We start from the raw sequence: 26439 nt of genomic DNA on the forward strand, positions 1-26439 counted from the left end.
ATTTTCCTGTCTTCTTCTGAGTCCTCCAAACTGTTCCAATCTCTGCCTGTTACCCACTTGCAAAGTTGCTTTCACATTTTCGGGTATCTTTTCAGCAACACCCCACTCTACTGATACCAATTTTCTGTATTAGTCCATTTTCATGCTGCTGATAAAGACATACCTGTGACTGGGAAGAAAAAGTTTAATTGGACTTACAGTTCCACAGGGCTGCGGAGGCCTCAGAATCATGGCGGGAGGCAAAAGGCACTTCTTACATGGTGGTGGCAAGAGAAAAAAGAGAAAGAAGCAAAAGTGGAAACCCCTGATAAAACCATCGGATCTTATGAGACTTACTATCATAGGAATAGCACAGGAAAGACCGGCCCCCATGATTCAATTACCTCCCTGTGGGTCCCTCCCACAGTGCATGGGAATTCTAGGAGATACAATTCAAACAGAGATTTGGATGGGGACACAGCTAAACCATATCACATAGTATATATTGAAAATGTATTGTCAAGTATCTTGGATGAGATACACATTGCCAGATACCATACAGTTACCTGCCTAAGAAAATAAGCCAATAATTATAGTCTATTAATGGTAACATTAGACAGACAAATGCTTACATGGTAATGCCAGAGCCCATGGTTTGAGATGCTCTGACATGTGATGGGTCTCATACATCACTTTCTTGTCTAAAAATAGTAGCTAAGTGTTCTGAAACCTTGCCCTCAATGAACTCATATTTCTTAATTATTGCCATTCTGCTTTACAAATGCTCAAAAATCTGCATATTTAATATTCAGTTATGAATATATTTTATGCATGTGTAGGGTGGCAGGATAAGAAGAGGGATGATGTTAAATTTACTAACTTATAATTTCTAGGTGTAGAACTATTGCTTGCCCATATCTGAATATTAAAGCTATATTTGTCCTTCTTTGAATTTTGATTATACTGTCTCTTCCATTTTATTTATTAAAAATTATGACCAGAGAGAGTGTGTGTAGTTGATACCCAAAGCAGAAAATCAAGTTATAGATGACTAGTTTATAAATTAAACAGAAATCCCTTACTCTCACCCTTCACAGACCATCTAAGCAATACATCAAATGCTAGTAGCCAACATTCTTCTTTTTGACAGGAAACTAGAAGTTTATTCTAAGAAACTAAATAAGAAGATCTCAAGCCTTGGAATTACATGGCATATCAAGAGTGATATGAGATGCAGGGCTAAAGACAAAGAGAATAATTGATATATAAATATATAGTCTCATATAGTCAATTATCCAGTTTCTCTTGTTGAGAACTGTTAATGATATGAGATTTTACCATACTTGCAAGCTAAGAGCTTGACAACATTCCATGGATGCTAGCAGAAGACAAGAGACTGCTGGATTACAGACAAAGTATTTTTAATACTCTCAACACAGCAGGCAGCATGAGCTTCATATGTCTATAAGTGACCTGTGCCTGCCCCTCTGCCCAGTTCCCCAACAGTGACACAGAGCAGTTTCTGGATGCTGTGGCTTTTCCCAAACCTCATCAATCTTTGTCTCATGGGGGTACATTGTGTTTATTATCCTGGATAGCAAACAGATCCAGAGGGAGATGTTGTCTCTGTCTTCCAGGTTGATTGCTATACAAACATTCTTGACAAGATAGTCCAAATGAAAAGTTGATATAAGTTGTGCAGAAATGTCAGAGACCCATGAAGAATTAACTCTCAACACCTCTCCACTGCCTTTGGCACAGAACAAGTAGGTAACTATACCCACAGTAGCATAATAATATATTTTTATTTGAAGAAATTGAGCAGCCCCTGAAAAGAGACTTACAAATACTGATATTTCAGTGTCCCTTACGAAACAACCAGTTCCCCGCCAAATCTCTTCAAGTAAAATCTCCTAGCAAACAAGTACCATCCATATTACCAGGCTTTCAGTCAGGTTTTTAGTGCTTTACTCTTAAAAATCAATATACAATCAAAGATCACTAGTATACAAAGTTTCTAACATAGATAGAAAGGAAAAGGATACAGACATTAAAAGAAAGAAGAGAAAAAGAAAATAAAAAACAAGAAACAGAAAAAGGAAATGAAATTAAATAAATAGTGGGAACAAAGAAAATTGACTCAAGCATATAAAATAAAGAAAAAAAGTGGACTTCTAAGTAGTAATCATGTAAATTCTTGTTTCTATCCCAGACAGATATAAGAAACACATCGTCCTTAAAACAGAATAAGATAAAGGGGAGAAACTTTAAGAAAGTCAAAATAAATTTTTAAAATAAGAGTCAAAAGAAAACTCGATATAACATCCCAGAAAATAGAACAAAAAGTTCAAGAAGTTAAATAACAGAAAACATGAAAGAAAATATAAGTGACTTGAAGGGTGAACAAAGGAGAGTCAACTGTCCAAGAGAAACTCCAGAAAAAAGAAAAAAAAAATTTTTAATTATCAGAGAAATTATACCCTAAAAATTAGTTCCCAGAAATGAAAAAAAATTAGCCTCCATATTTTAAAATGCCTGCTGTTGGCTAATTAATGTCAGACAACTGAAATGAAGGCATATCTTCATGATTTCAGAACACTGGGGATTAAATGATTCTAAACCACAAAAAGACAAAGAAAATGTTAAAAATCAAAATTATACTTAGAGAAAAGTGATAAATAAATGCAAAAGTGGAATGACATCACATTTCTACACAGCAACGCTGAATTCCAGAAAAAAAGGTGCAAGAAATATCAATAAAATTCTGATAGAAAATCATTTTAATCTTAGATTTCTCTACTAACCCAATATATCAATAAAATGCAAATAAAAAGACATTTTTAATAATGTTAGGATCCAAAACATTTACCTCCATCTCAAGCTTTCTTAGGAAATTACTGGCTAGTATGTCTCAGCAAACTGAGAAAACAAACCAAAAAGAAAAAAAAAATGGGGTCCAGGAAATAGAAATTCTCATTCAGAATAATAAGAAAGAAAAGTGCCAGGATAAAAGCTGGGCAGTGGAACTAATTAGCAACTAGCCCAGACTAAAGCAGAGGGACTCCAGGGTTGCATTTTCAAATAGTGCCAAAACGTAGACTATGGATCTATTAAATGATACATCTGAGTAACTCATCCACAATTTTGTAGTATCAGTTTGCATGGCCTGTCAAAAATCCAGATCCATCCTGGAGAAGGTGATCCCATTAAAAAGAATCCAGATTATTCAGCAATATCAAATATAGGTAGAAACCAAAAGACAAAAATCTGCTGATTTTTCAAACCATTAAAAAGATTGATGCAGTTCTGGTAATGGCATCATAATTCTTATAAGACCCACGCTCCCACAAATAACAAATATAAACTCAGGACGAACATTTTTAAAGCCTATCTTAAGGGACAGCAAAGCAACCAATAGCCAGTAGAAACTACAGGGAAGTCAACACTTGGATGACAGGTAAGTTTTCTGTTTTTGTAGCTTTTTGCTGGAAAGTAGTTCCCAGTCAAATAGAAACCCATTAAAAAGCCAGCTGTAGAGTTAGGAAAGACATCCAAGAAGGGAAAGTCCAAAAAAGAACAACCCAATGTTCTCCATACAAACTCTGTTTGAATCTCTGGTTGATGCCTAAACTATGCATGTGAGAGGAATACTGGAATCAGCAGTGTTAAACCTAACATAACTGGATAGAGATTTCAGCTGTTGCCGGCTATAGGAAACAGAATTTGAAGTATAAATCCAACCAAGTTAAATGCCTGTTAAAACAAAAATCCAACCATCGTTAGAAGGATAAAACAAAATCTAGATATATTGTTGACAATGTCCAAGATACAACGCAAAAATTACCAGGCATATGAAGAAAAGAAATCACATGACCTAATTTGAATGAAGAGGCCATTAGTGGATACAAACTTTGAGTTTACCTGGATGCTGGAATTACTAGACTGAAATTTAAAGTAGCTATTATAATCATGTTTAAGGATATAAAAGAAAATGTTCTTATAATGAATAAAATAGGAACGTTTATAACAATAATGAAACCTATTAAAAATAAATGAAAAATTTAAAATTTAAACTGCAATATTTGAAAATTAAATAAAATCTCACTAAACGAAATCTCTAGCAGATTAGAGATGACGGAAGAAAGATTCAGAAACTTGATGTTATATCCATAGAAATTACAAAATCTAGAAAACAGGAGAAAAAATATGAAAAAATAGCCTCAGTGATCTTTAGAAAAATATCAAAAGGTACAAAATGTGTGAAATTGGAGTAAAAGTGAAAGAAGAGGAGATATAAAAAAGCATGGATAAAAAACAATATTTTTTTAAAAAAGCCTAATTAAAAAGTATATTGAAAGACATAAAAAGAATTTCAGAAAAATAATTTGTAGAACACCTACCTAGGCACATCACAGTCAAATTGTCCAAAACTAGAAAAGAAGACAAAATCTTCAAACAGCCAGAGAAAAATCATACATACCAGGAACAATGACATGAATAATGATAATTTTTCATTTTAAAAAAGTGAATACCAGAAGAGAAGGGAACTGTAGCTTTAAAGTGCTACAAGAAATATAAAAAGTCAACCCAGAATTTGATATAAAATATTCAGCTAAAAATTAAAATACTACAGTAAAGTTATCTGAATATAAATAAAAATTAAAATATCCATTGACAGTAGAACTACATGATAGTAAATCGCAATGGAATTCTCTTAGGTAAAAAAGAAATAATACCAGTTGGAAGCTTGGATTGTGAGGAAGAAATGAAGAGCACAAGAAGTAGTGAAATGCAGTCAGATATATTACATATATCATATGTAAGACTAGCTAAAGTAAAAATTTCATCATTGTATTATAGGATATATAAAATATATATAATACAGAATGACACTAAAATCTAAAGGATGGAAATAGGAAAAACAGATCTATTAGATACAAATTTCTTATATTTTAAGTAAACTTCTACAATATAGTAAGTAGACAAATAGTTTTAAATGTATCATTCTTTATTTTCCAGAATAGCCCTGAAAATATTAGAGGTATAGCAAAAAGCCAACAAATAAAAATCAAAACAGAATCTAAAAATATTATTCAAATATTTAAATAGAGTCAATTCTAGGAGAAAGTTTGGTATAATATTAAAAAATCAATCAATGTAATTCATCTTGTTAACACATTTTTAAAAATCTATTTGATTATACGTACAGATAGAAAAAACTTGGTAAAATTCCAAACTCATTTATAATAAAAACACTCAGAAAATTAGGTAAAAAAGGGACTTCTTCAATCTAACAAAGGCACCTGAAAAAAACCAACAGCTTATGTCACACTTAATGACAGAAATATTAAACGTCTTCCCATTTTTATTTCTTAAATATTAAACATGTTCAAGATCATAAACAAGTCAATAATGTTCACCCTTACCACTTCTATTCCATATTGTACTGATGCATAAAGACAAGAAAAATACTAAAAAGCTAGGTATCAAAAGATAAAGAAAACCTTTTTCAGAGATGAAAGGACTACTTACATGCAAATATTAAAAGAAATCTATATATTAACTACTCAAATTAGTAAGTTCATACATTAATTTATTATTACAACATATAAAAATTATATTTTGTATACTAATGATAAACAATTGGATAATTGAATTTTAAAACCTGAATTTATATTAAAAAACATAAAATATTTAAATTTAGCAAAAGACATGCAAGACTTGTGTACAGAAAACTAAAAACAGTTGCTAAAGGAAATGAAAGACAGTTTTAAAATATAGAAATAGAAATAATGTCCTGTTGCAGCCTCTGCCTCAGGAGTCCCCTGCAGCCTGGAACACCTAGCAAAAGAAATGCAGGTGCAGTGCCAGGGATTGGAGCTGGATCCCCACAAGTCCTAGAAGCAAACCTTGTGAGGGGGCCATCTGTCTCCCCGACCCACCTCAGAGCATGCCTGTGAACAAGAAAGTACGAGAGCCACACAAGCTGGGTGTTAGCCTAGCTACCGGCCGTTACTCTTAAGCGCATCTACTGGATCACAGCACAAACTACAACACTAAAATTACCGTGCTAATATATGCAGGATGTGAAACCAGGTGCAAGAATTCACCCACATATGCGGATTCTGTACAGAGCCCTGGCCCTCCGAAAGCATCCAGAAATGAAGCCAACTGACCACACTCAGCTTACACCACAGTTAAGGGAACACCAACCCTACCAGATGAGAAAGAATCAGCACAAGAACTCTGGCAATTCAAAAAAACCACAGCATCTCCTTACATCCAAATGGGTCACTAGCTCCCTAGAAATGGTTCTTAACCGGTCTGAAATGGCTGAAATGACAAACACAAAATTCAGAATCTGGATAGAAAGGAAGCTCATTGAGATTCAGAAGAAAGTTGAAACTCAATCCAAGGAATCCAAGTAACCCAGTAAAATGATCCAAGAACTGAAAGATGAAATAGCCATTTTGAGAAAGAATCAAAATAAACTTCTAGAGCTCAAAAATTTACTACAAGAATTTAATAATGCAATAAGAAGTATTAACAGCAGAATACACCAAGCTGAGGAAAGAATCTCAGAGCTTGAAGACCAGTTCTTTGAATCAACTTAGATGAAAATAAAGAAAAAAGAATTTTAAAAAATGAACAAAACTGGCCAGGCACGGTGGCTCACACCTGTAATCCCAGCCCTTTGGGAGGCCAAGGCTGGTGGATCACGAGTTCGGGAGATCGAGACCATCCTGGCTAACACGGTGAAACCCCGTCTCTATTAAGAATATAAAAAAATTAGCTGGGCATGGTGGCGGGCACCTATAGTCCCAGCTACTCAGGAGGCTGAGGCAGGAGAATGGCATGAACCTGGGAGGCGGAGCTTGCAGTGAGCCGAGATAGTGCCACTGCACTCCAGCCTGGGTGACAGAGCGAGACTCCATCTCAAAAAAAAAAAAAAAATAAGGAAATAAGAAATATAGGGTTATGTAAAGATACCAAATCTATGCCTCATCGGCATTCCCAAAATAGGAGAAAGAGTAAGCAATTTCAAAAATATATTTGAAAAATATATTTTTCAAAAATATAAATAATGCCTAATATAAATATAAATAATGCCAAAAATCGCCTAATCTTGCTAGAGAGGTTGAAATTCAATTCCAAGAAATACAGAGAACCCTGGCTAGTTACTATATGAGACAACTATCCCCAAGACACATAGTCATCAGATTCACCAAGGTCAAGGTAAAATAAAAAAAATTCTAAAGGCAGCTAGAGTGAAGGGTCAAGTCACATACAGAGGAAACCCCATCAGGCTAGCCACAGACTTCTCAGCAGAAAACTTATAAGCCAGAAGAGATTGGGAGACTATTTTCAGCATCCTGAAAAAAATTCAACTAAAAATGTTATATCCTGCCAAACTAAGCTTCATAAATGAAGGAGAAATAAAATCCTTCTTAGACAAGCAAATCTGAGGAAATTTGTTTTAAGTAGACCATCCTTACAAAAGGTCCTTAAGGTAGTGCTAAATATGGAATCTAAAGAACCTGCTGCCATAAAACACTTGAATGCATAGCCCACAGGCACCACAAAGCAACTACGCTATCAAATTTACATAACAACCAGCTAACAACATGGGTATGAGATCAAAATCACACACATCAATACTAATCTTGAATATAAATGGGCTAAACATCTGCTTAAAAGACATTGAGTGGCAAACTAGATAAAAACACAAGACCCAGCCATCATTGCCTTCAAGAGACCCATCTCACATGTAACAACACCCACAGGCTCAAAACAAAGAGAGGGGAAAATATCTATCATGCAAATGAAAAACAAAAAAGGACAGGAGTTGCTATTCTTATATCAGATAAAACAAACATTAAACAATGAAGGGCATTACTATAATGATAAAGAGTACAATCCAACAAGAAGAACTAACAATGCTAAATATATATGCATCCAACATTAGAACACCCATATCCATAAAACAAGCTCTTCTTGGCCTATGTAAAGATTTAAACAACCAAACAATAATAGTAGGAAACTTCAACACCCTACTGACAGTGTTAGACAGATCACTGGGCAGAAAACTAACAAAGAAATGCTGGGCTTAAACTCAACATTTAACCAGTTGAAACTAATAGACAAATACAGAACACTCCACCCAAAAGGAATGCTTATACACTGTTGGTGGAAACGTAAATTAGTTCAGGCACTGAGGAAAGCAGTTGGAGATTTCTCAAATAATTTAAAACAGAGCTACCATTCCACCTAGCAATCCCATTATTGAAGATATATCCAAAGGAAACTAGATCATTATACCAAAATGCACTCATATGTTCATCACCATGCAATTCACAATAGCAAAGACATGGAATCAACCGAGGTTCCCATCAACGATGGATTGGATGAAGAAAACATATACACCATGGAATACCACACAGGCCTAAAAAAGAATGAAATCAAGTTGTTTGCAGCAACATAAATAGAGCTGAAGGCCGTAGTCCTAAGTAAATTAATGCAGGAACAGAAAACCAAATACTACATGTTCTCACTTACAAGTGGGAACTAAACATTGAGCGCACATGAACACAAACATGGGAATGATTGACACTGAGCACTACTCAAGGGGAAGAGAGAGGGAGGTTGACACGGGTTGAAAAACTACCTATTGGGTACTATGTTCACTATCTGGGTGCAGTATACCCGTGTAACAAACCTTCATATGTACCCCCTGTATCTAAAATAAAAGTGAGAATTTTAAAAAGACTAAATATGTTAAAACCAGTACTCTCTAAATTTTATCTACAGTCATTAAAATCTCAATTGTTATCTCAACTGTTTTTGTTTTCTAAGAAACTGAGAAGCTGATTCTAGAAGGTATATGAACACACAAAGAATTTATGGGAAGTCCCGCTCCTGGTTAGAAGCCTATGTATGATGTTTCAGGCCATAGATAATTAATTACAAAGGCTTTACCTGGCTGGTTTACAGGGTGTGGAGAGGCTGTTCTGCCCACCCCAGACTTGGTGCACAGCCAATGCATTGCAGTCTTTGAAGGGAGTTGCAGTCAAGGACCCCCTGGCTGGTCACGCCCTTGTGCATATTTATATTGCCAGCTCAGGATCCTTCATTCTTAGGTCTCTTTTTCTGAGGCCTATGTAGAGGTCTTCTTCAGGTGCCTCTGTCAAGGCCTCCTAATAGGAGAGGAAGAGAGAGCCTTAAAGACACTTTTCTCCACTCTGAGTACCCAGTGAGTTTCCACTTTCTCCTTGCAGGGCTCCCCAACAGTGAGACAACTCCATGTCTGTGCTAATCCAACTAACACTTGACCAGTGCCATTTCCACAGGGAAAAACAGAACAGGGGGAGTCAGTAATTTCTCTGGCTTTAGACTCTTGCTTACACTATTGAAGGAGGTAATTAAAGATTTAACTCTTTCCTTTGGGGCTTGTTGCTTTAATTGGCTCACTACCTGGATGCAATATACCCATGTAACAAACCTGCATGTGTACCCCCTGTATCTAAATAAAAGTTGAAATTTTAAAAAGAATAAATATGTTAAAATGAGTACCTAAGTCCTCAGCACTCTTTTTCAGCTATGCTGAGCTCCTGACACTCTAGAATATTCAAAACAATATTTAGAAAGAACACATTTGGAGTCCTTTCACTGTCTGACCAAGACTTACTATAAACCCACAATAATCAAAGTAATGTGGTACTGGCAAAAGGGCAGACAAATAAAAGATACACATTAAAACCACAATGAGATACCGCTAACCATCCACATACCCACTCAAGTTAAACCACCTGGCAACACCAAATGCTGGCAAAAATTTGGAGTCCCAGAACTCACATATATTGTTGATGAAAGTGGATAATAGTACAACCAATGTGGAAAATGTTCTAATAGTTTCTTATAAAACTAAACCCCTCTGATCATCTACCCCTATGAGCCAGCAATTATACTCCTAAGTATTTACTTAAGAGAAATAAAGGCATAAATCTACAAAAAAAGACTTAAACTGGAATGTTTACAGAAAGTGAATTCATCATTGCCAAAACCTGGAGATATCTTGAACGTCCATCTACAGGAGGCTGGCTAAACAAACGGTAGTATATCTATATGGTTACATATTCCACTGCCACAAAAAGGAATGAAGTACTGATACACACAACTTGAACAAATCTTAAAAATATTATTCTGGGTGAAAGAAGTAAACAAATCTTAAAACCATTATTCTGGGTGAAAGAAACTTTGCACAGAAGAGCGTATGATGTTATTCCATTTATATAAAATTCTAGAAAAGAATAATTTATAATGAAAAAATCAGAACACTAATTGCCTCTAAGGAGTTAGCAGTGGGAAAAACTAAAGGCATGAGAAAACTTTGGAGATAATGGTAATATTCTACAATTTGGTAGGTTACACAGTGTATGCATTTGTCAAAACTTGTTTAACGGTATTCAAGATTTGTGTGTGGTGCTGTATGCAAATTTTACCTGAAAAACACCTTGAACTCCAGTTAATTATACACGTGCTGAACTGCTTAGAAGTGAAGTATGCCTCCAACTGACTTTTCAATGAATTAAAAAATTAGATGGATTGATGGATGAATAGAAGGATGGATAGATGGATAGTTATGTGGTAAAGCAGTAACAGTTTTATCCAGAACCTAGGCGGTGGGTACATGCATGTTCACTGTATAATAGTTTCAGCTTCTATAGATGTTTGAAAATTCTCATAATAAAATGGAAAATAATGGCATGATTCTGTGTATTTTTTAATAAAATCAACTTTGAAATATGCTGATAAGAACCACATTGCTAATTAAAGAAGTGAAGTACAGGAAGGTTTGGGCTGTGTGTTTCTGTGTAAAAGAAGGAGGAGTCAGATTTACATAAACTTGAACAAGCAAGAACTATTATTTCTAAGAACATGTAGCAAAATAATTACAAGACTGTCTCTGGAGAAGGAACTTACCTTTTGTTCTCTGTTATAATTGAATCATTAACCAGGTGCATGTATTAATTCAATAAATAAACACATTAAAATTCAATGAGAGTTTAGTATCCATAACATTCCCCGAGAGAAAAATCTAGAGACCACTGCAGTTTGAAAAGCATGAAAAGGGAGAGGAATATGTTTGCTGTTTTTTGTTTTTTGTTTTCCAAACAAAGAGAATACTGATGAAGAAACAAAGATTTGGAATTTAGTAAAGAATAGGGATCATTTGTTAATTTTCAGAAGCTTTTAGGATAAATAAAATGAAAAAGATGCTGGGTTATTTTGGCATAGAGTTTGATACACTTGACTAAAAGATTTAAAAATATACCTACATGTCAAGAAAAACTGAAGTATTCTATACCTTTTACTACTTCTACTTAGCAGAGTTTATCTTGAGCCACTGTCCGTGGCATGTCCAATAAGTTGTAAAGGCTTCACACACACTCCTCATATGAACAAGTTGCTGAAATATTGTTAAAGTGTCACATTTTGTCCATTATAAGGTAAATTGTTTTTCACAATTCTATTTTCTTTGAAATACGGGTAAGTCCTATAATCAATCTTCACCTTTAATGTGGTAGTACTAAACACCACCCAAAAGTAACAATTAGATATTTAATAGAACATCTTATAATAGAGAGAATCTCAGAATCAAATAAATAAGATGGGTTAGTTTTTGCAAGCCTGTCTTTCTGGAGTTTCCTAGTATTCTTTAGAGTGTTAGGCCTATCATTCTCAGTTACCCACCAGACTGTACTTTACTAAGGCACAGGCAACTGCAAGAGTCAGACAATACTTGATAGTGTTGATATTGACACTTGAGATTTGTGATCGCATAGGCATTGATTTGAGTCCTGACTCTGTTACTTACTCTTGGATTATATGAACTTGGATAGGTTATTTAAGGTCTCTAGGTCTTATCTGTAAAATTTCCTAATCCGTAAAAATAGTGTGATGATAATAAATAGCCTAGCCAAAAAAATAGACTTAAATAAATGTATGAAAAGTAGAGTAAGTGCTCAAAAACTTAGCTCTGCTTTTATGCAAAAATAAACTATTTTAAGCAGTTACATGATACGAGAAATCAGCTTGATAATGGAAAAAGATCATACCATTGTGGTCAAGTTTTACACAAACATGATCTGTTTCGTGGCCTAGACTGAGTTGAATTAGAATAGAAGAAACCATATTACAAGTATTCAGGAATTAAGCAAAGACAAAAAAAAATAGTTATGACTGTGATAACTGAAACAAGGGAAGAGATATAAGAGACAATGCATTTAATTTGTGAATTGACAAATAAGGTAGGTGAGGAAAAAAGAGGCTTATGGAATTCTTGAACCTAACATGCAAGAAGAGCAGGGATGCAATTTATTGGGAGAGGGGAATTGAGGAATAAGAGCCCGTTTATTGGTGTGTGTACGTGTTGGGGGAGGAAGGAGTTCAGTTTGGGACAACCATGAAGACCCAGCAGACAGCTGAAATACTGTAATGAAGTTCCCTTATATTCTAACATATTACTTTTAGTTCTTTGAAGTCAATTCTGCACCCCACTTTTTGCTCTACACCCAGACAGTAGCACAGATTGGTGTTCAGTAATGACAGATGGAAAAGTGATGGGAGAATGGTGGTGAGTGGCTGGTGCATGCTGTGAGACTTGTGCATGAAGACTCATCCTGAGTGAAGAGCCACACGGTTCCACCAGGGGGAAGACTGATTTTTGCATATCATGCAGAAACTCAACCACCTGTTAGAGGAGGGAAACAGAGTGGGAAGGAACTACGCTGTAGGAAGGAAAGATGAACTTGAGTTTCACTTCTTAGTGCCTTTTCTCAGGGGAGAGGCCATCACTTGAAGATGCTGAGTCTTCTGCTCCTTCTCCTGGGACTAGGTATGAGCCTTGTCTTTTGAGGAGTCTGGGGTTAATGTTAACACTGGGTGGAAAGGTGGAAAGACTTTCTCTCCAGAGAGTCTGAAGCCACCAGACAGAAGATGAAGGGGATATGTTAGATTAAAGAACCATAACAGAGTAATTGTTGGCACAATAAAAAGGAGGCAGTTCCCTGGGGTCCTTTGGGAGCTGAGGTGGTATTGGAGAGATAAAGCAGAGACCTTCCTGCCTGGGGAGATGTCTGACCCCAAGCTTGTCGGTCCTCATGAATATCTCTCTGGAACTAGGCTCTGTGTTCAGTGCTGTCATCTCTCAAAAGCCAAGCAGGGATATCTGTCAACGTGGAACCTCCCTGACGATCCAGTGTCAAGTCGATAGCCAAGTCACCATGATGTTCTGGTACCGTCAGCAACCTGGACAGAGCCTGACACTGATCGCAACTGCAAATCAGGGCTCTGAGGCCACATATGAGAGTGGATTTGTCATTGACAAGTTTCCCATCAGCCGCCCAAACCTAACATTCTCAACTCTGACTGTGAGCAACATGAGCCCTGAAGACAGCAGCATATATCTCTGCAGCGTTGAAGACACAGTGCGGGGCACAGATCAAAGATCTGAGCAAGAACCTCAGCTCTCTCCTACCCAGCTCCTCTCACACGAGCCTGAAGGCCCTGCCAAGGTGGGACAGAAGGAGGAAACCACAGCTTTTGGGCAGACACAGCTGTTTCTGTGTTTGTGGGTGGGCATGGGTATGAATGGATAGACTGGGGATGAGGAGAGCATCTGTAGGACTAGCTGGAGCGTTCTATCCACAGGCAGGAAGAGTGGCTCCTGGAAAGCTGAGGGTAAAATTTCTTCTAGAAGGGTGCTCAGAAATACCCAATAAAAACAATCAGATACAGTTTCCTTCAAGTGGCGGGGTCAGTAATAGCCTTTAACTGTTTTATCTCAAGGCTCTTTTTAGCTGGTTTTCTATCATAATATATTTTGGAAGAACTTTAGTCATCTTGAAACAAAGCTGGTACATTATATTAATGACATCTGGTTGTTCTCAGTGAATAGGAATGATAAAGCCCTCTAGATGCTTCAATATGACAATATGACACATGCATCCCAGGCCAATATAAAATCTGCAAAGTTCAGGAACCTTCTATACTGGTGAGTTTTGGAGTGGTCCAGATGTAAGAAGTAAGCTGCTGCACCTTAGATCATGTACCACGGAGAAAGAGGTGCAATGCTTAGTCTTTGGACTTTGAATTAAACTTTGGATATACTGCATTTGATTGTGCTACTCTATCCCATTTACTATGTAATCTGTAAAGCTGGGGCCAGTGCAAGAGAGGGTTCTGTGGCAGAAGAAGCCCATGATGAAAGCTTCCTGCTGCTTGGGCCATGGACTAAGCAGACCCAGTTGTTCTTGAAGAGCCTATGGTAGATACTGATGCCCTGTGGAGCTCCTGACATTCCCCAATACGAGAATCACAAGGCAGTGTGGAACAGGTTTGCTGTGCCCTGATTTGCACTTCAGACCATTGCATCTTGGGCTATACTTTTGTTGCTTTCCAGATCCCAGAGAGAAAGAATGCTCACACACACAAATTACATGAGGAGTGTTTATTACTTACATACAGGCAGCAAGGGAAAACAGAGGCCTAAGATTCAGGGAAAGCCAGTCCCACTAGGCTCAGGAAAGCTGCCCAGGGTGGATGAAATCTTGTCTGTGCCTTCCCTACTTGCACTGCCACTGAGGGACCTCAGAGAGCAGCCACCCTGGGTTTTATATCTTAGAGCAACTTGACATGCTTGGCAAAGCATTGAAGGACATTCTATTTCTAGAAGGGACTGGAACAGAGCCCTGGCTGTTCTGGCCAGTTCCTCCTTATCTCAGGATGTTACAGTCCCAGAACATTGTACAGTTATTTTTGAGAACTACAAGCAAGAAATAGGGGAGTACTGAGTTTGTCCAAGGCCACCTGGAGAATTGCCCTGCAGACAGGTGCAGAGTTTTGGTGTAAAGCCATACTCTTACCGGCCAACGATCCCCTTTCTTTTGAAAAGTTGCTCCTGGCTCTATAATGGATGCCTCATAATGGCATTCAGAACAAGGTATTATCTGATCTGCAAAACTGTAAATTTGGCTGTGCCCAGAGCATTCTGTTATTAAATGGAAAATACATAATCAAGACCATACTTAAGCACAGCTGGAAAAAGGCACGATTCAATTTCAAGAGCACATCTCAGAGTCTCATGCTACCCACTCATACTTTTCTCCTCTTACCTTCAAACCACACCCAAGTTTCATGGAAATTCCATATTTCCAGTTGAGAAACATGAGCTTATTTTTTTGATGGGTCTTCACATTATTCTGGAAGGATCATTACAGTCTAACCAAGTATGGTTCTGAAAGGTAGTGGTGAAGGGAAATCTTCTCGGGGCCAAAACTTAAATTGGTATACCTGATTGTTGTCCACATTTTATTGAAGAAGAGATGGCCAGAAGTATAGCTATATCTTATGTTCAATTTTCTTTCATACTATCATCTAGTCTCCTTACCTATTCAGTCATATTTTTCTTCTTTTTGCTTCTCTATGCTACAATCTGGGTAATTTCTTTAAAACTACTGTTTAGTTTACTAATTCACACCTCAGCTCCAGTAAGCCTCTAATTTAATCTTTCAACTGACTTTGTTCATCTAAATTATATTAATTTTTATTTCTAGAAAATCCACTTGGGTCATTTACAAATATGAGTGGACATTTTTGAAAGCATCTTGTTCCTTGTGTATTTTAAAATTATTTTCTTTTTATAAGTATATTAAGCATCTACTGGGAATTATTATCTGACAATGCCAGCATTTGATGCCTTTTTGCATCTGGCTTTCAGTGGTCTGCTGGCTCTCACTCAGGGTAGCCTATTTCCTTGTACATTATGTAAGTTAATGTGAATTCATCTTTCAGAATTCTTTAAATACTGGAGTAAAAGTGGGTTTTCTAGGAAAATTCATGTTTGCCTCTGTCAAGAAATTGGGGCGCTACAGACCTAATATCATTTTATTTTATAATTCTCAGTATATATCTTCTTGGTCATAGAATGTCTATCTCAAACCCCAATGGGCTGACTGTTCAGTGACCATGAATATTCAGAGGAAATTTTTTAAAATCCTTCACCCAAAGCCAAGACCAAGACAAATAATATTCTTTGTTAATTGCTTCTAGGATTAGTTTTCTAGCTCATCCTTTCACTAACTGTGTATCTCTTTGTGTACCTCACTTTAAAAAGCAGTGATTCCTGTCTAGTTTCTGGTCCATGTAAGGTCTCATGGGCCTTCTCCAGTTTCCATGTGTACTAATTCTCCAGGTCACAGGAATGCACATGTATACCTGTTTTATCTCATGGGCTCAGTGCTAGCTTACCTTCCTGGCCCATGCTCCCATTACCATAGGAAGTTGACAAATTTACCTACAGTGAAGCCTTGGATTATGAAGCACCTTCCTATATTACAAAATTGCCTCTTTAAAAGCAGTAAAGCACTGTGGTTAGGAACTTGAACTTTGTCAAGTGACAGACCTAAGTTTAAAACTTGGTTCTTCTGCTTTAACACTAGGTGTAACCTTAACAAGTTACACAATTTCTCCATGCCTTAATTTCTCCATAGAAAATAAGAATAATAGTGAGTTTTTAAATGTAGGTTTTTTAAAATAAGAAAGTGATACAATTATCTGTATAAAAAGCACATAGAGACAAAATATGCAATTAGTGTAGTTGCTACCTAAACGTATTTCTCACTATAAAAACATATTTTACCACTGGCAATTCCTTCCTCAAGAATAAGTATGGCCCTCTCTCAGAAAATTTTATCATTACAATTGTTTCTCTTTTAGCTATTTTAATTAAATAAAAAATTTGTGGTATTATAAAATATGCATATTATCAAAATAAAAAAGTCAAAATCACTCAGTTTAATAAAATTAGATCATACAATATGTAGTTTTAGAATTTATTCCCTTAACCCAACAATATTTCATGAATATCATTTCATGTCAAAAATATTTTACATTAACTTTAATAAGAATAGTTCGATATACTGATGACCATCCTTCATACAATCAAAACCCATGACAAGGTATATATCCATAGGCTAGATGACAGGGTTATTTAATTTTAAATAGCAATTGTTTGTGTGCGTTGAATTATTTCTGTTGCAGACTCAGAAGGAAATCATGAAAGCCCTAAGTCTACCTGCAGATGGCTGGTTCTTTTTTATTCAGGTGTTAACTTAAATGCCACCTCCCCAAAGAGACCTTTCCTGACCACTCTACGTAACAGCACTTCAGCAGTCATGCCATATTATCACTTTATCCTATTTTAGTAATATGTACTCATCATTTACTGAAAGTGATGTATGTGCATCCCATTTCTATACCTCCTCATATGTGCATAAATGCATGCACATGCACACATGAATGCACTGAAAACAAGAACCTTTTCTGTCTTCTTCGTTGCTGCTTCCAAATAGCCTAGAAGAACTCTTGGAATATCACTCCAGGAATTCAATAAATATTTGTGAGTAAATAAATACATTTCAAAGATAAGAGGAAAATTTATACAGCTGCAGTGGATTTCCCTGGTGGAAAACTCTACAAAGGCATTTGAGTTTAGATAATCTAAGCCCATAAGAAAATTAACTAGATTATTCTAACAGGAAAGGAATAAGCACTTCAAACTTTATATTTTTTATTCTTGTTTTAAATTTATGTTTTAGTTGCGGGGAGGATACAAAAAGATTAAAGGACACAAAATTACAGCTAGATAGGAGGAATAAGTTCCAGTGTTTTACAGAACTGTAGGAGGACTACAGATAACAAGCATTGTATTTGAATAGAAAGGTCCATATGTCATGTGCCAACCCCGTTCTGCTGCCTTACCCAAGACTGGGAAATGGAACAGATGATATGGGTTCTATAGAGAGGCAAAGTGCAGAACCTGCTCAAACACAGTGGCCCTGGGGTGGAAAGTTCTCAATTGGAATTGTGTTGGTGCCTGTGTGGATGGAGCATTCAATTCTGAGCCTTAGGAGCCTTTTGAAGGCCCTCCTGGCCAAGATGATCTTGAGGAAATGACTGACCCATTGGCTGCCTTCCAAATGGATGACACAGTCTAGACTTTTATAAACTACATGAGTAGAAGGAACCCAGTTGACTGGATTTATCACCAAACCTAGCTTGTGAGCCTCAGTCTAGAGCTAGCATAATTTAGAAAAATAAATGCATACATCATATATTAAACTCTGAGTATCATGAAACAGATCCTAGATGTTACAATAATAAGAACCTACATGGGTGTTTCTCCTGCACTCTGTCCTGGCTTTCTTCTGCTTCTTGTCTAAGGGAGCCTGGACTCACTTAAGCAGCTCTAATAGGCCAAACAAGAGAGTGGTCAAGGAGTGGCTGAAATGTGAACAGAAAGACTCACCATTATATTAGAGCAATCAATCTATCCTTAAAATACTGTGGGTTTAGTGTCAAGTGCTAGAGGCTTCCCCATTTACCCATACATGGAAGCCTGAAGAATAAACAGAACTATAAACTTCCCTCTGGGCATAAAACTTGCATGTCTTCCATGGCTTCAAGCTGGGGAGCAGCTGGGCAGGCAGAAGGAGGGGCAAGAGGCAGTCAAGAGGAGGGGCGGGAGGCAGGCGGGGAGGAATGGGCTACTCCGTTTAGCTGATCAGCCTTGACCAGTTCATGCTCTGGGACTCCATCTTACAAGTCAGACTTTTCCGAGTCACACAGAGCACTCCCTTCACTCTCCAGATTCAATGATTCCTGGGATGATATAGTAACGAAAATAATTCCTTATTGGATAAAGAGAAATTGTGCTGTGCGGGAGATAAGTAGCTTAGAAAAAAAAATGGATGAGGAGAGGAGCTGGGAGTTTGGGGGTAAGACAGCCTAAAATCTGACAGTCTGGTTGGGGAACGATAAAAGATACTGGAACCCAAGGAGGAGATCAGTAAGAATGTAGGAGAAAGATCTGGTGGGATTTGGAGAAGAAAGTGTTAAAAAATAAAATTGGAATATGACAGTTTGCAGACTACTAGGTCTGAAAGACGCAACTCTGTAGCAACATGAAGGGGAACAAACTTTGTCTGAATAGGGAAGTTTCTAGTATGATCTCTGCTTTCCTTAGACAAGTAACCCTGGAGAAGACACTTGACCTCTGAGCTTTAGATTGTTCATCTGTAAAAAGGAGAGAACAATATCTGCTGCCTACCACCTCAGTGAGGCTGCACTAAGGATCAGCTCAGAGGAGGCAAAGCAGAATGCCCTATTGCACAGCATGGAGGCCCTAGAGTCGGACCACCATACTTACATCCCATCTTTAAAACCTCCTGGCTGTGTGGCCTTGAGCAAGCCACTTCACCTCCAGAAAGTTCATTTGATCATCTGTAAAATGGGCAATCCCATAGGTGGTTGTGATGATAAAATGAAAAAAACATTTTTAACTTACATGAGTTACATGCTGTAGAGTAAGTTATGTGGTATATAGTAAGCACACAGAAAAGACTCACTGTTATCAAAATTAAAGGAAAGTGGTTTAGTGTGCTAAGCACTAAATACAAGCCAGAGAGATGTCTTGAGAAGTAGACAAAGAAATCTACAATTCAGAATGAACAGTAACAAGAATGACATGTCCTCCAAATTGAGCTTTGGCAGCTGGATCTGAACCTATCCTACACATCTGAGTCTACAGTATGAGGTAACAGTCTCCACCTATAGCTATCTTCTCTGCCTGTAAGGTCATTCCTTTCTGAAGAAAGCTGACCTCAGACTATTTTGCGATCATTTAAGGAAGAGCGCAAAATACTGGAGAAGGCTAGTCTTCAAGCTCTAGATACAGAAAATCCTCAAATTCTTGGGTGTTCCCTTTCAGACTGAGAGTCAGAGCCACAAGCACTGATCCAAAAATCCCCTTTTCCAAAAAAATTTTCCATCTTCTACCAAGGTTCACCTCCCTGTTTAGTGCACACTAGTATCTACAGTTGTTAGAGCAGGAGTCTCTCCTTATCCTCTAAGGCAGGTGTTCTGTGAAGACCCCATGACAAGGGACAAAATGAAACAACATGTTCAGGGACAACAAAGGAAAAGCCCATTTTATCAATGCTCCAAAACCTGGCTACCTCAGGCTTGGCAAGTTATTCGTGAGCAGAGAAGTTTGTCATCTACATGGCAGTCATGGCCTGGATGGGTCTCGAACTGTGGCATGGTAATGCTCTGAGACTAGGTGCCAGGAGAAAGATAAATTCAATCATCCATTTCTACCAGGAAGAAAAGCACCAGGAAGGAATCAGATGTACAGTTTGTCCTCTAGGGACCTCTGTCTTGATCCTCAATAAATCTCCTTTTAGATACCTCCTCTTAGATGAAATTCCCACACTTCACAATGCTCTCCATGGCTTCTGTTGGCCTTATGGTCAGCTCTGCCAAGATCTGTATTCTTGGGCAAGACAGAATCCTTCTGAATCTCAGTCTCTTGCTCTATAAATGGAAACAATTTTGCTCTGCACAAATTACAATTAGCATGTTTGTGGGAAGTTAAAGTGTGAAACTCAGCATAAATGAAAAGTAATGTACCACTGTTGCTTACATGAAAACTCTTGTAAAGTTGTCAGGCACTGTGCACCATCTAAGCATAGCAGTGTTAGGTATGGGCCCATTAGTGATTAGAGGGGGTGCGAGGCGGAGAGGGGGTCTCCAAGCAGTGGGTCTCCTGGCTGTGGGGAAGCTGGCTCAGCAGCCATACCAGGAGCTGAAACCGAAGGTACTCTGTGTGTCCTCTCAACACCATGGGCCCCACTTTGGCATTATTTCCAATTCCCTCTGGTTTCCATTTGCTTCCTCCCTCTAGCCCCCTGGCCAGGTCCGATTTCAACACCAAGTTTCTGAGCTTTTCCCATTTTGTCCACCGTCTCTAGAACATTTCTGCTTCTTTTACCTTTCAAAGAATCCAAACTTGAACTCTACTTACTCCTGCCCATCACCAGCCTGAGCTCAGAGTTGCTGAGAAGGGAAAGCACCCTCATAAGGAAGCTCCTCCTTTCCCTACATCATTAGACTTGAGCACAGACAGCATCTCCATTTCCACACTGCTCTGGCCAGGTTGTGCCTCAGTCAATTACACAACTGTGTCTTAGTAGCCTTGGTAGGGCCCAAATCAGGATATTCTCTAGGAAGATTCACTTTGTACTGAGCCAAGCATAATCTCACTGCATCGAAAATAGAAAATGATCATCTGATCATTCTGGTTCAGACTGTCAGCCCTGAGCAGGTGGGTCAGTTTGCATCACCTGAGTGCAGATTGCAAGGACAACAGTGAGGCTGCATAAAAAGAACCTATGACAGGATGCACATGAGAGAGACAAATGTCTTCACATTGAAGAAGGGGAGGAGTGCGCCATTGGTTTTCCATCCTCCAGAGGCACTGAGAAAGCTCCTACAGAAACTGTGCCCCCTCCTTCTTTGAAACACTTCCCATCCTTAAGCCTTGGTAGGAAGGAGAGAAATCTGGAAGCCCAGAATCCTATGGAATGCTGAGTCTCCCTTCTCCTTACCCCTTAGTGTTGGAATTTTCATTCCCCAAAATCTTGCATTTGACCTTCCTGCACACTGACTGGAGAGAAGCATCTTCATATTCACAGGAATGAGCCTTAGATAAGACTTTGCTCCTCTCATGTGGGCCCCAGGAAACTGAAATCCAAGCTTTTTACCAATGCTTGCCCTTCCTTAAGTACATTAAATACATTCCCAATAGGTGGAAAGATTTGTAAACAGCTAGGCCATTCTCCCTCCTTCTAACCCTCATCTCCAGGGCCTAAGAAAGCCCAGCTCTGTTATCTGGGGCTTGACTTTCCCTGTCTTCCCCATCCCAGTATCCTTGCAGGAAACAGCCGGTCTCGCTCTCTGCTCTCAGAAGGAAAGTTTCCTTATCACCTGTGAATCACAAACCCAGAGAGTGGCCAAACATAGCCAGGCTGATGCAAGACCCTGGGAAGAGGAAAGCTGCAGGTGTGTTTGTGCTGGGAGGAGTGGTGACCCTCACCTCACAGTCACCTCCTCTCTGGATCCTCGTGAGGTATAAAGACGAGTCCTCCACCACCAGTCAGGCACACTCTACCACCATGAATCCACTCCTGATCCTTACCTTTGTGGCAGCTGCTCGTGAGTATCATGCCCTGCCTCAGGCCCCAACCACCCCCCCGTTCCTGGCCGACAAATGCCCTTCCATTCTTACCACCTCTCCTCTTTTGACTGTGCTCTGATATTCCGTTTCCTCCATCTGGCATATCTCCTTCCCATCCTCCTTGGGCTCTTTTTAAGTCTCACCTGTTCACCTTCTCCTTGACTTCACTCCCACCACTGTCATTCATCCATATCCGAGTTGTGGTTGGAGAAGCTGGGAAGGGGGCCAGGTGGGGCTGTCCCACGAAATGAAGCAGCAGGCTTCAGGCTTGGCTCCAACAGCAACAGAATAGCACCACTATAGCTGCTCCTAACCTCGAATGCACCTGGGGAGGTTGAAAAATTACTCATGCCAGAGACTCAGCTCTAGAAATTCTAACTTCAATTGTCTGGGGTAGAGCTTGTGTTCTGGGCTTTTAAGCTTCCCAGGTGATTTTTAATATTTCCAGCCATGCAGCCAAGGTTAAGAATTGCTGTCCTATTGGCCAATAACAAAGTCTACCTTTGTTCTGCCAAAGTGAGCCTGGGGGCTGCCCTCAACTCTGCCCTGACTGCACAGATCTGAGCTATGGGGGAAGGTGGTCATGGCCAGGTCTATGCAGACAGGGGGTTTTCCTAGCTTGGCAAAAGAATCCTGACAATCCAGGGCCCAAATAGCCAGGGGAAGTACACAGGTGATGAATAAAAGAGAGAAGCACTCAGTGGGAGAGACAACCACATCCCAACTCCTATCCCACTGGAAGCATTGTGAGGACATTCCTTGCGACTTCAGCCTGGTGACCCCAGGAGAGCTCGGATCCTCCGCAGGGTACCTAGCTATGTGCCCTGCAGGCACAGAGACTTGGGAGCCACAGGCAGTGATGATCACCAGGGGTGGCAGAGCTCCCTCCCTTGCCTAGCCTCACTGTGCTTGTTAAGGATTTCTAATTAGCAGAAAGCAATCACAGGCTGGGAGCGCCACCCCTAACATGCTATTGACTTGCCTTCTCCCTTCCCATCTCCACTCCAGTTGCTGCCCCCTTTGATGATGATGACAAGATCGTTGGGGGCTACAACTGTGAGGAGAATTCTGTCCCCTACCAGGTGTCCCTGAATTCTGGCTACCACTTCTGTGGTGGCTCCCTCATCAACGAACAGTGGGTGGTATCAGCAGGCCACTGCTACAAGTCGTAAGTGTGGGGCCCCCGACTGCAAAGCTCCCGGCCAGTCTGCCTGGGAGAGCTTGGCTTCAGCCCAGGGAACTACTGAGGTTGGGTAAGATGGATGGGAGAGGTGGTGGAGAAGAAAACTTGTTGGCAGCTGCGGACTCTCCAGAGCAGAGAGTGAACACAAGACAGGAACCTCTCACACCCAGGCAAATCCATGAAACAGCAAGGGTTGTGGTCATAAAAGCAGGCAGGGATGATCTTGGGGTGGTGAGAGCTAGTGAGAAAAGCAGGCAAGTATCTTTTGCTGGTTAGCTACACATTAAAGCCAACTAAGAAAGACTTTTTAAAAATACAGATGCCTTTGTCCTATCCCAGGGCAATTAAGTCAAAATTTTCAGGAAGAGGGTGTGAATATCAGTGAGAATTTTACACTCTACCTCTGCTAACTGTAGAGTGTATAGACAGAGCTGAGAACTGCTGCCTACACCAAGAACTCTCAAACCTGAGTATGCATCAGAACGCCCTGCAGGCTTGTTAAGGCACAAATCACTGGGCCCCTTCCCCAAGGTTCTGATCAGTAGGTGGGGGTAAGGACCAAGAATTCACATTTCTAACAAGTTCCCAGGAGATGCTAATGCTATGGCTACCCTTGGATTAGATTACACAGAAGGGTGGTTCTCACCAGGCCAAGAATGGAGGGAGGAACAGGCACTGTGCACAGTTGGCAAAGGCCTGGGGTGAAGAACGCTGGGAAAACTTCAAGGAGCTCCTTGTGCCCACAGTGCTAGTGACTGTGGAGATTGTGGGAAAGAGTCTGGGGAGGCAGGTTGAGGAGCAGCCTCTGGTGGGATCCCTTTGACTCTTCCCCACCCCACTACCACCAACCTCTGGAGCAGATAGGTCCTGGGTCTCATACCTTCACTGACCCACATCCCTCTGCTGCCCATGCGATATGGCCACACACCCCACCCCATGCCTCCAGAGCTGTCCATGAGCAGAGAGCTTGAGGAACCTGGGGAAGGTGGGATAGGTGCCCTGGCTGTGGGAGAAGGTCTTCACCATGCCTGCCCTGCCCATCAGCCGCATCCAGGTGAGACTGGGAGAGCACAACATCGAAGTCCTGGAGGGGAATGAGCAGTTCATCAATGCAGCCAAGATCATCCGCCACCCCCAATACGACAGGAAGACTCTGAACAATGACATCATGTTAATCAAGCTCTCCTCACGTGCAGTAATCAACGCCCGCGTGTCCACCATCTCTCTGCCCACCGCCCCTCCAGCCACTGGCACGAAGTGCCTCATCTCTGGCTGGGGCAACACTGCGAGCTCTGGCGGTGAGTGGGACCCTTAGTCCTTCTACTTCCCTCCATCCTCACAATTTCCAGAACAAACCATGCCCCTTAACTTGAATCCTCTCACCTCCAGGCTTAAGACACATTTCGAGTGCCCATTACACACAGACTCTGCACTGGGCACCAGAGAGATGCAAACTATCAAGGACTTGGCTCCTAAAATCAAGAGACAGGACAAATGGAGAACTTGATATGATCACATCTTGGGAGGGGTTCAACAATGATCATTCTGGGAACTAAAAGCCAGAGTCTCTTGCCAGGACTTATGTTCTGGAGTCCTCTCCAGGGGCTGTGTTCCTCTTCAGTTTTCCATCCAAGATTATTGTCTCCTTCTCTGGCCTGACCCACATTTCTACTTCCTTTGATCTCTTCCTGATCCTCACAGCCGACTACCCAGACGAGCTGCAGTGCCTGGATGCTCCTGTGCTGAGCCAGGCTAAGTGTGAAGCCTCCTACCCTGGAAAGATTACCAGCAACATGTTCTGTGTGGGCTTCCTTGAGGGAGGCAAGGATTCATGTCAGGTGATTTGACCAACCCTTCCCATGCTGAGGCTCCCACTGATACCTAGGCCCCACCAGGGAAAAGGATTTGAACTCAAAAGGTGGTGGGGCTGAGGAGGCTCCCTGCAGTGCCCACATGGAGAAGTGAGGAAGACTCCCTTGGGCTGCATCTTGTCTGCTTAGGAAGAACAGAGAATGGGCCACCATGAGAAGGACATGGAGCCACAGAGCTGGCTGGAAAGGGGTCTTTTAAGGTTCAGAGTAAATGTAGCTATATTCCTCCTCCATCTCTCCATACAACTTGTCCCTTCTTCCCCCCAGGGTGATTCTGGTGGCCCTGTGGTCTGCAATGGACAGCTCCAAGGAGTTGTCTCCTGGGGTGATGGCTGTGCCCAGAAGAACAAGCCTGGAGTCTACACCAAGGTCTACAACTATGTGAAATGGATTAAGAACACCATAGCTGCCAATAGCTAAAGCCCCCAGTATCTCTTCAGTCTCTATACCAATAAAGTGACCCTGTTCTCACTGTCTGTGTCTGTGCCTGCTCCCTCTCACTCCTTCACACTGGAAAGCATCCTCCAATTTCAGGTTAGACACGACTGTCCCCTTTAAAGGTAAGCAGAGCCCCCATCTCCCAAAATGTGTTCCATGGTACACTAGATTAGCACATACAAACAGATGGAATCCAAAAATAAGAAGAAGCTTGGGAGAAAGGGGAGTACTGTTTTCTAGAGATACCTGTTTCAGAAAGGTGGTCTTTGGGGTGGGGGGGTGGGTATTGATTTTTATTTGGGCTTCTCACAGTAGTTAGAGCTACTCTGCCTTCAGAACAATTACAGCACAGAAAATGTGTCAGCATCTTCGAGGTGGCCCAAAAAACTTGACCAGCTGAATCTTCTTGCTAAAATACAATAATAATGACAAATCCTGTTGGTGATGACGTGCCTCTCCCAGGAATGTGTCGGCACCAAACCCTCGACCAAGCCCTCCCTTCTCATTCACCTGGAAAATCAGATGCAAATAAATCTCCCTGGCCGCCTAACTCTTCCCTCAGTTCCCTAGTTCCATCTCTGTGAGCAGGCTAGAGAGATGTTCCACCTACCATAGCAGGAGCCAGACTGCGACTTGGGAATCAAGCGCAGATCTACACACTGGGCTTGATTTTCGTCTTCTTTGCCTTTGGGGTAGGATGCCACAGTGAATCCCACAGCTAACACCAGCTCCTCACTCTGACCAGGGAAAGAAACTAGAGAGGGTCAGGATTCACCTATTTGATCAATTAGCTGAGGAAGGATTCATTTTCATAAAACTTGCTTGACTTTGAG

The 26439-nt window shown here is 40.1% G+C and overlaps 1 protein-coding gene, 1 gene segment (V, D, J or C) and 1 further gene, besides 3 other annotated features; all 3 read left to right on the plus strand.

The window, feature by feature from the left end:
- The window catches only part of TRB (T cell receptor beta locus), a 514277-nt gene that overhangs the window by 428422 nt on the left and 59416 nt on the right, over positions 1 to 26439 (plus strand).
- TRBV29-1 (T cell receptor beta variable 29-1) lies at positions 12841 to 13462 on the plus strand. The segment is given in 2 exon segments: positions 12841 to 12874; positions 13162 to 13462. Coding segments are annotated over 2 exon segments (335 nt in total), but the record flags the coding sequence as incomplete, so codon positions are not given.
- Positions 13463 to 13469: a recombination feature (RSS_heptamer).
- Positions 13470 to 13492: a recombination feature (RSS_spacer).
- Positions 13493 to 13501: a recombination feature (RSS_nonamer).
- On the plus strand, positions 22040 to 25640 carry PRSS1 (serine protease 1). Of its 6 annotated transcripts, none has more exons than NR_172947.1 (5): positions 22040 to 22092; positions 23123 to 23266; positions 24397 to 24595; positions 24999 to 25135; positions 25436 to 25640. NR_172947.1 is itself a non-coding variant. In NM_002769.5 (5 exons), the coding sequence occupies exons 1-5, from the start codon at positions 22053 to 22055 to the stop codon at positions 25586 to 25588; spliced, it is 744 nt and encodes a 247-aa protein (NP_002760.1). In that variant the 5' UTR covers positions 22040 to 22052; the 3' UTR covers positions 25589 to 25640. The 6 variants fall into 6 exon arrangements, 1 of the variants encoding a protein (NP_002760.1); NR_172948.1 differs by having other exon boundaries at positions 24400 to 24595; NR_172949.1 differs by having other exon boundaries at positions 23197 to 23282; positions 24342 to 24595.

Source organism: Homo sapiens, chromosome 7 (assembly GCF_000001405.40).
Source record: "Homo sapiens chromosome 7, GRCh38.p14 Primary Assembly".
NCBI classification, from domain to species: domain Eukaryota; kingdom Metazoa; phylum Chordata; class Mammalia; order Primates; family Hominidae; genus Homo; species Homo sapiens.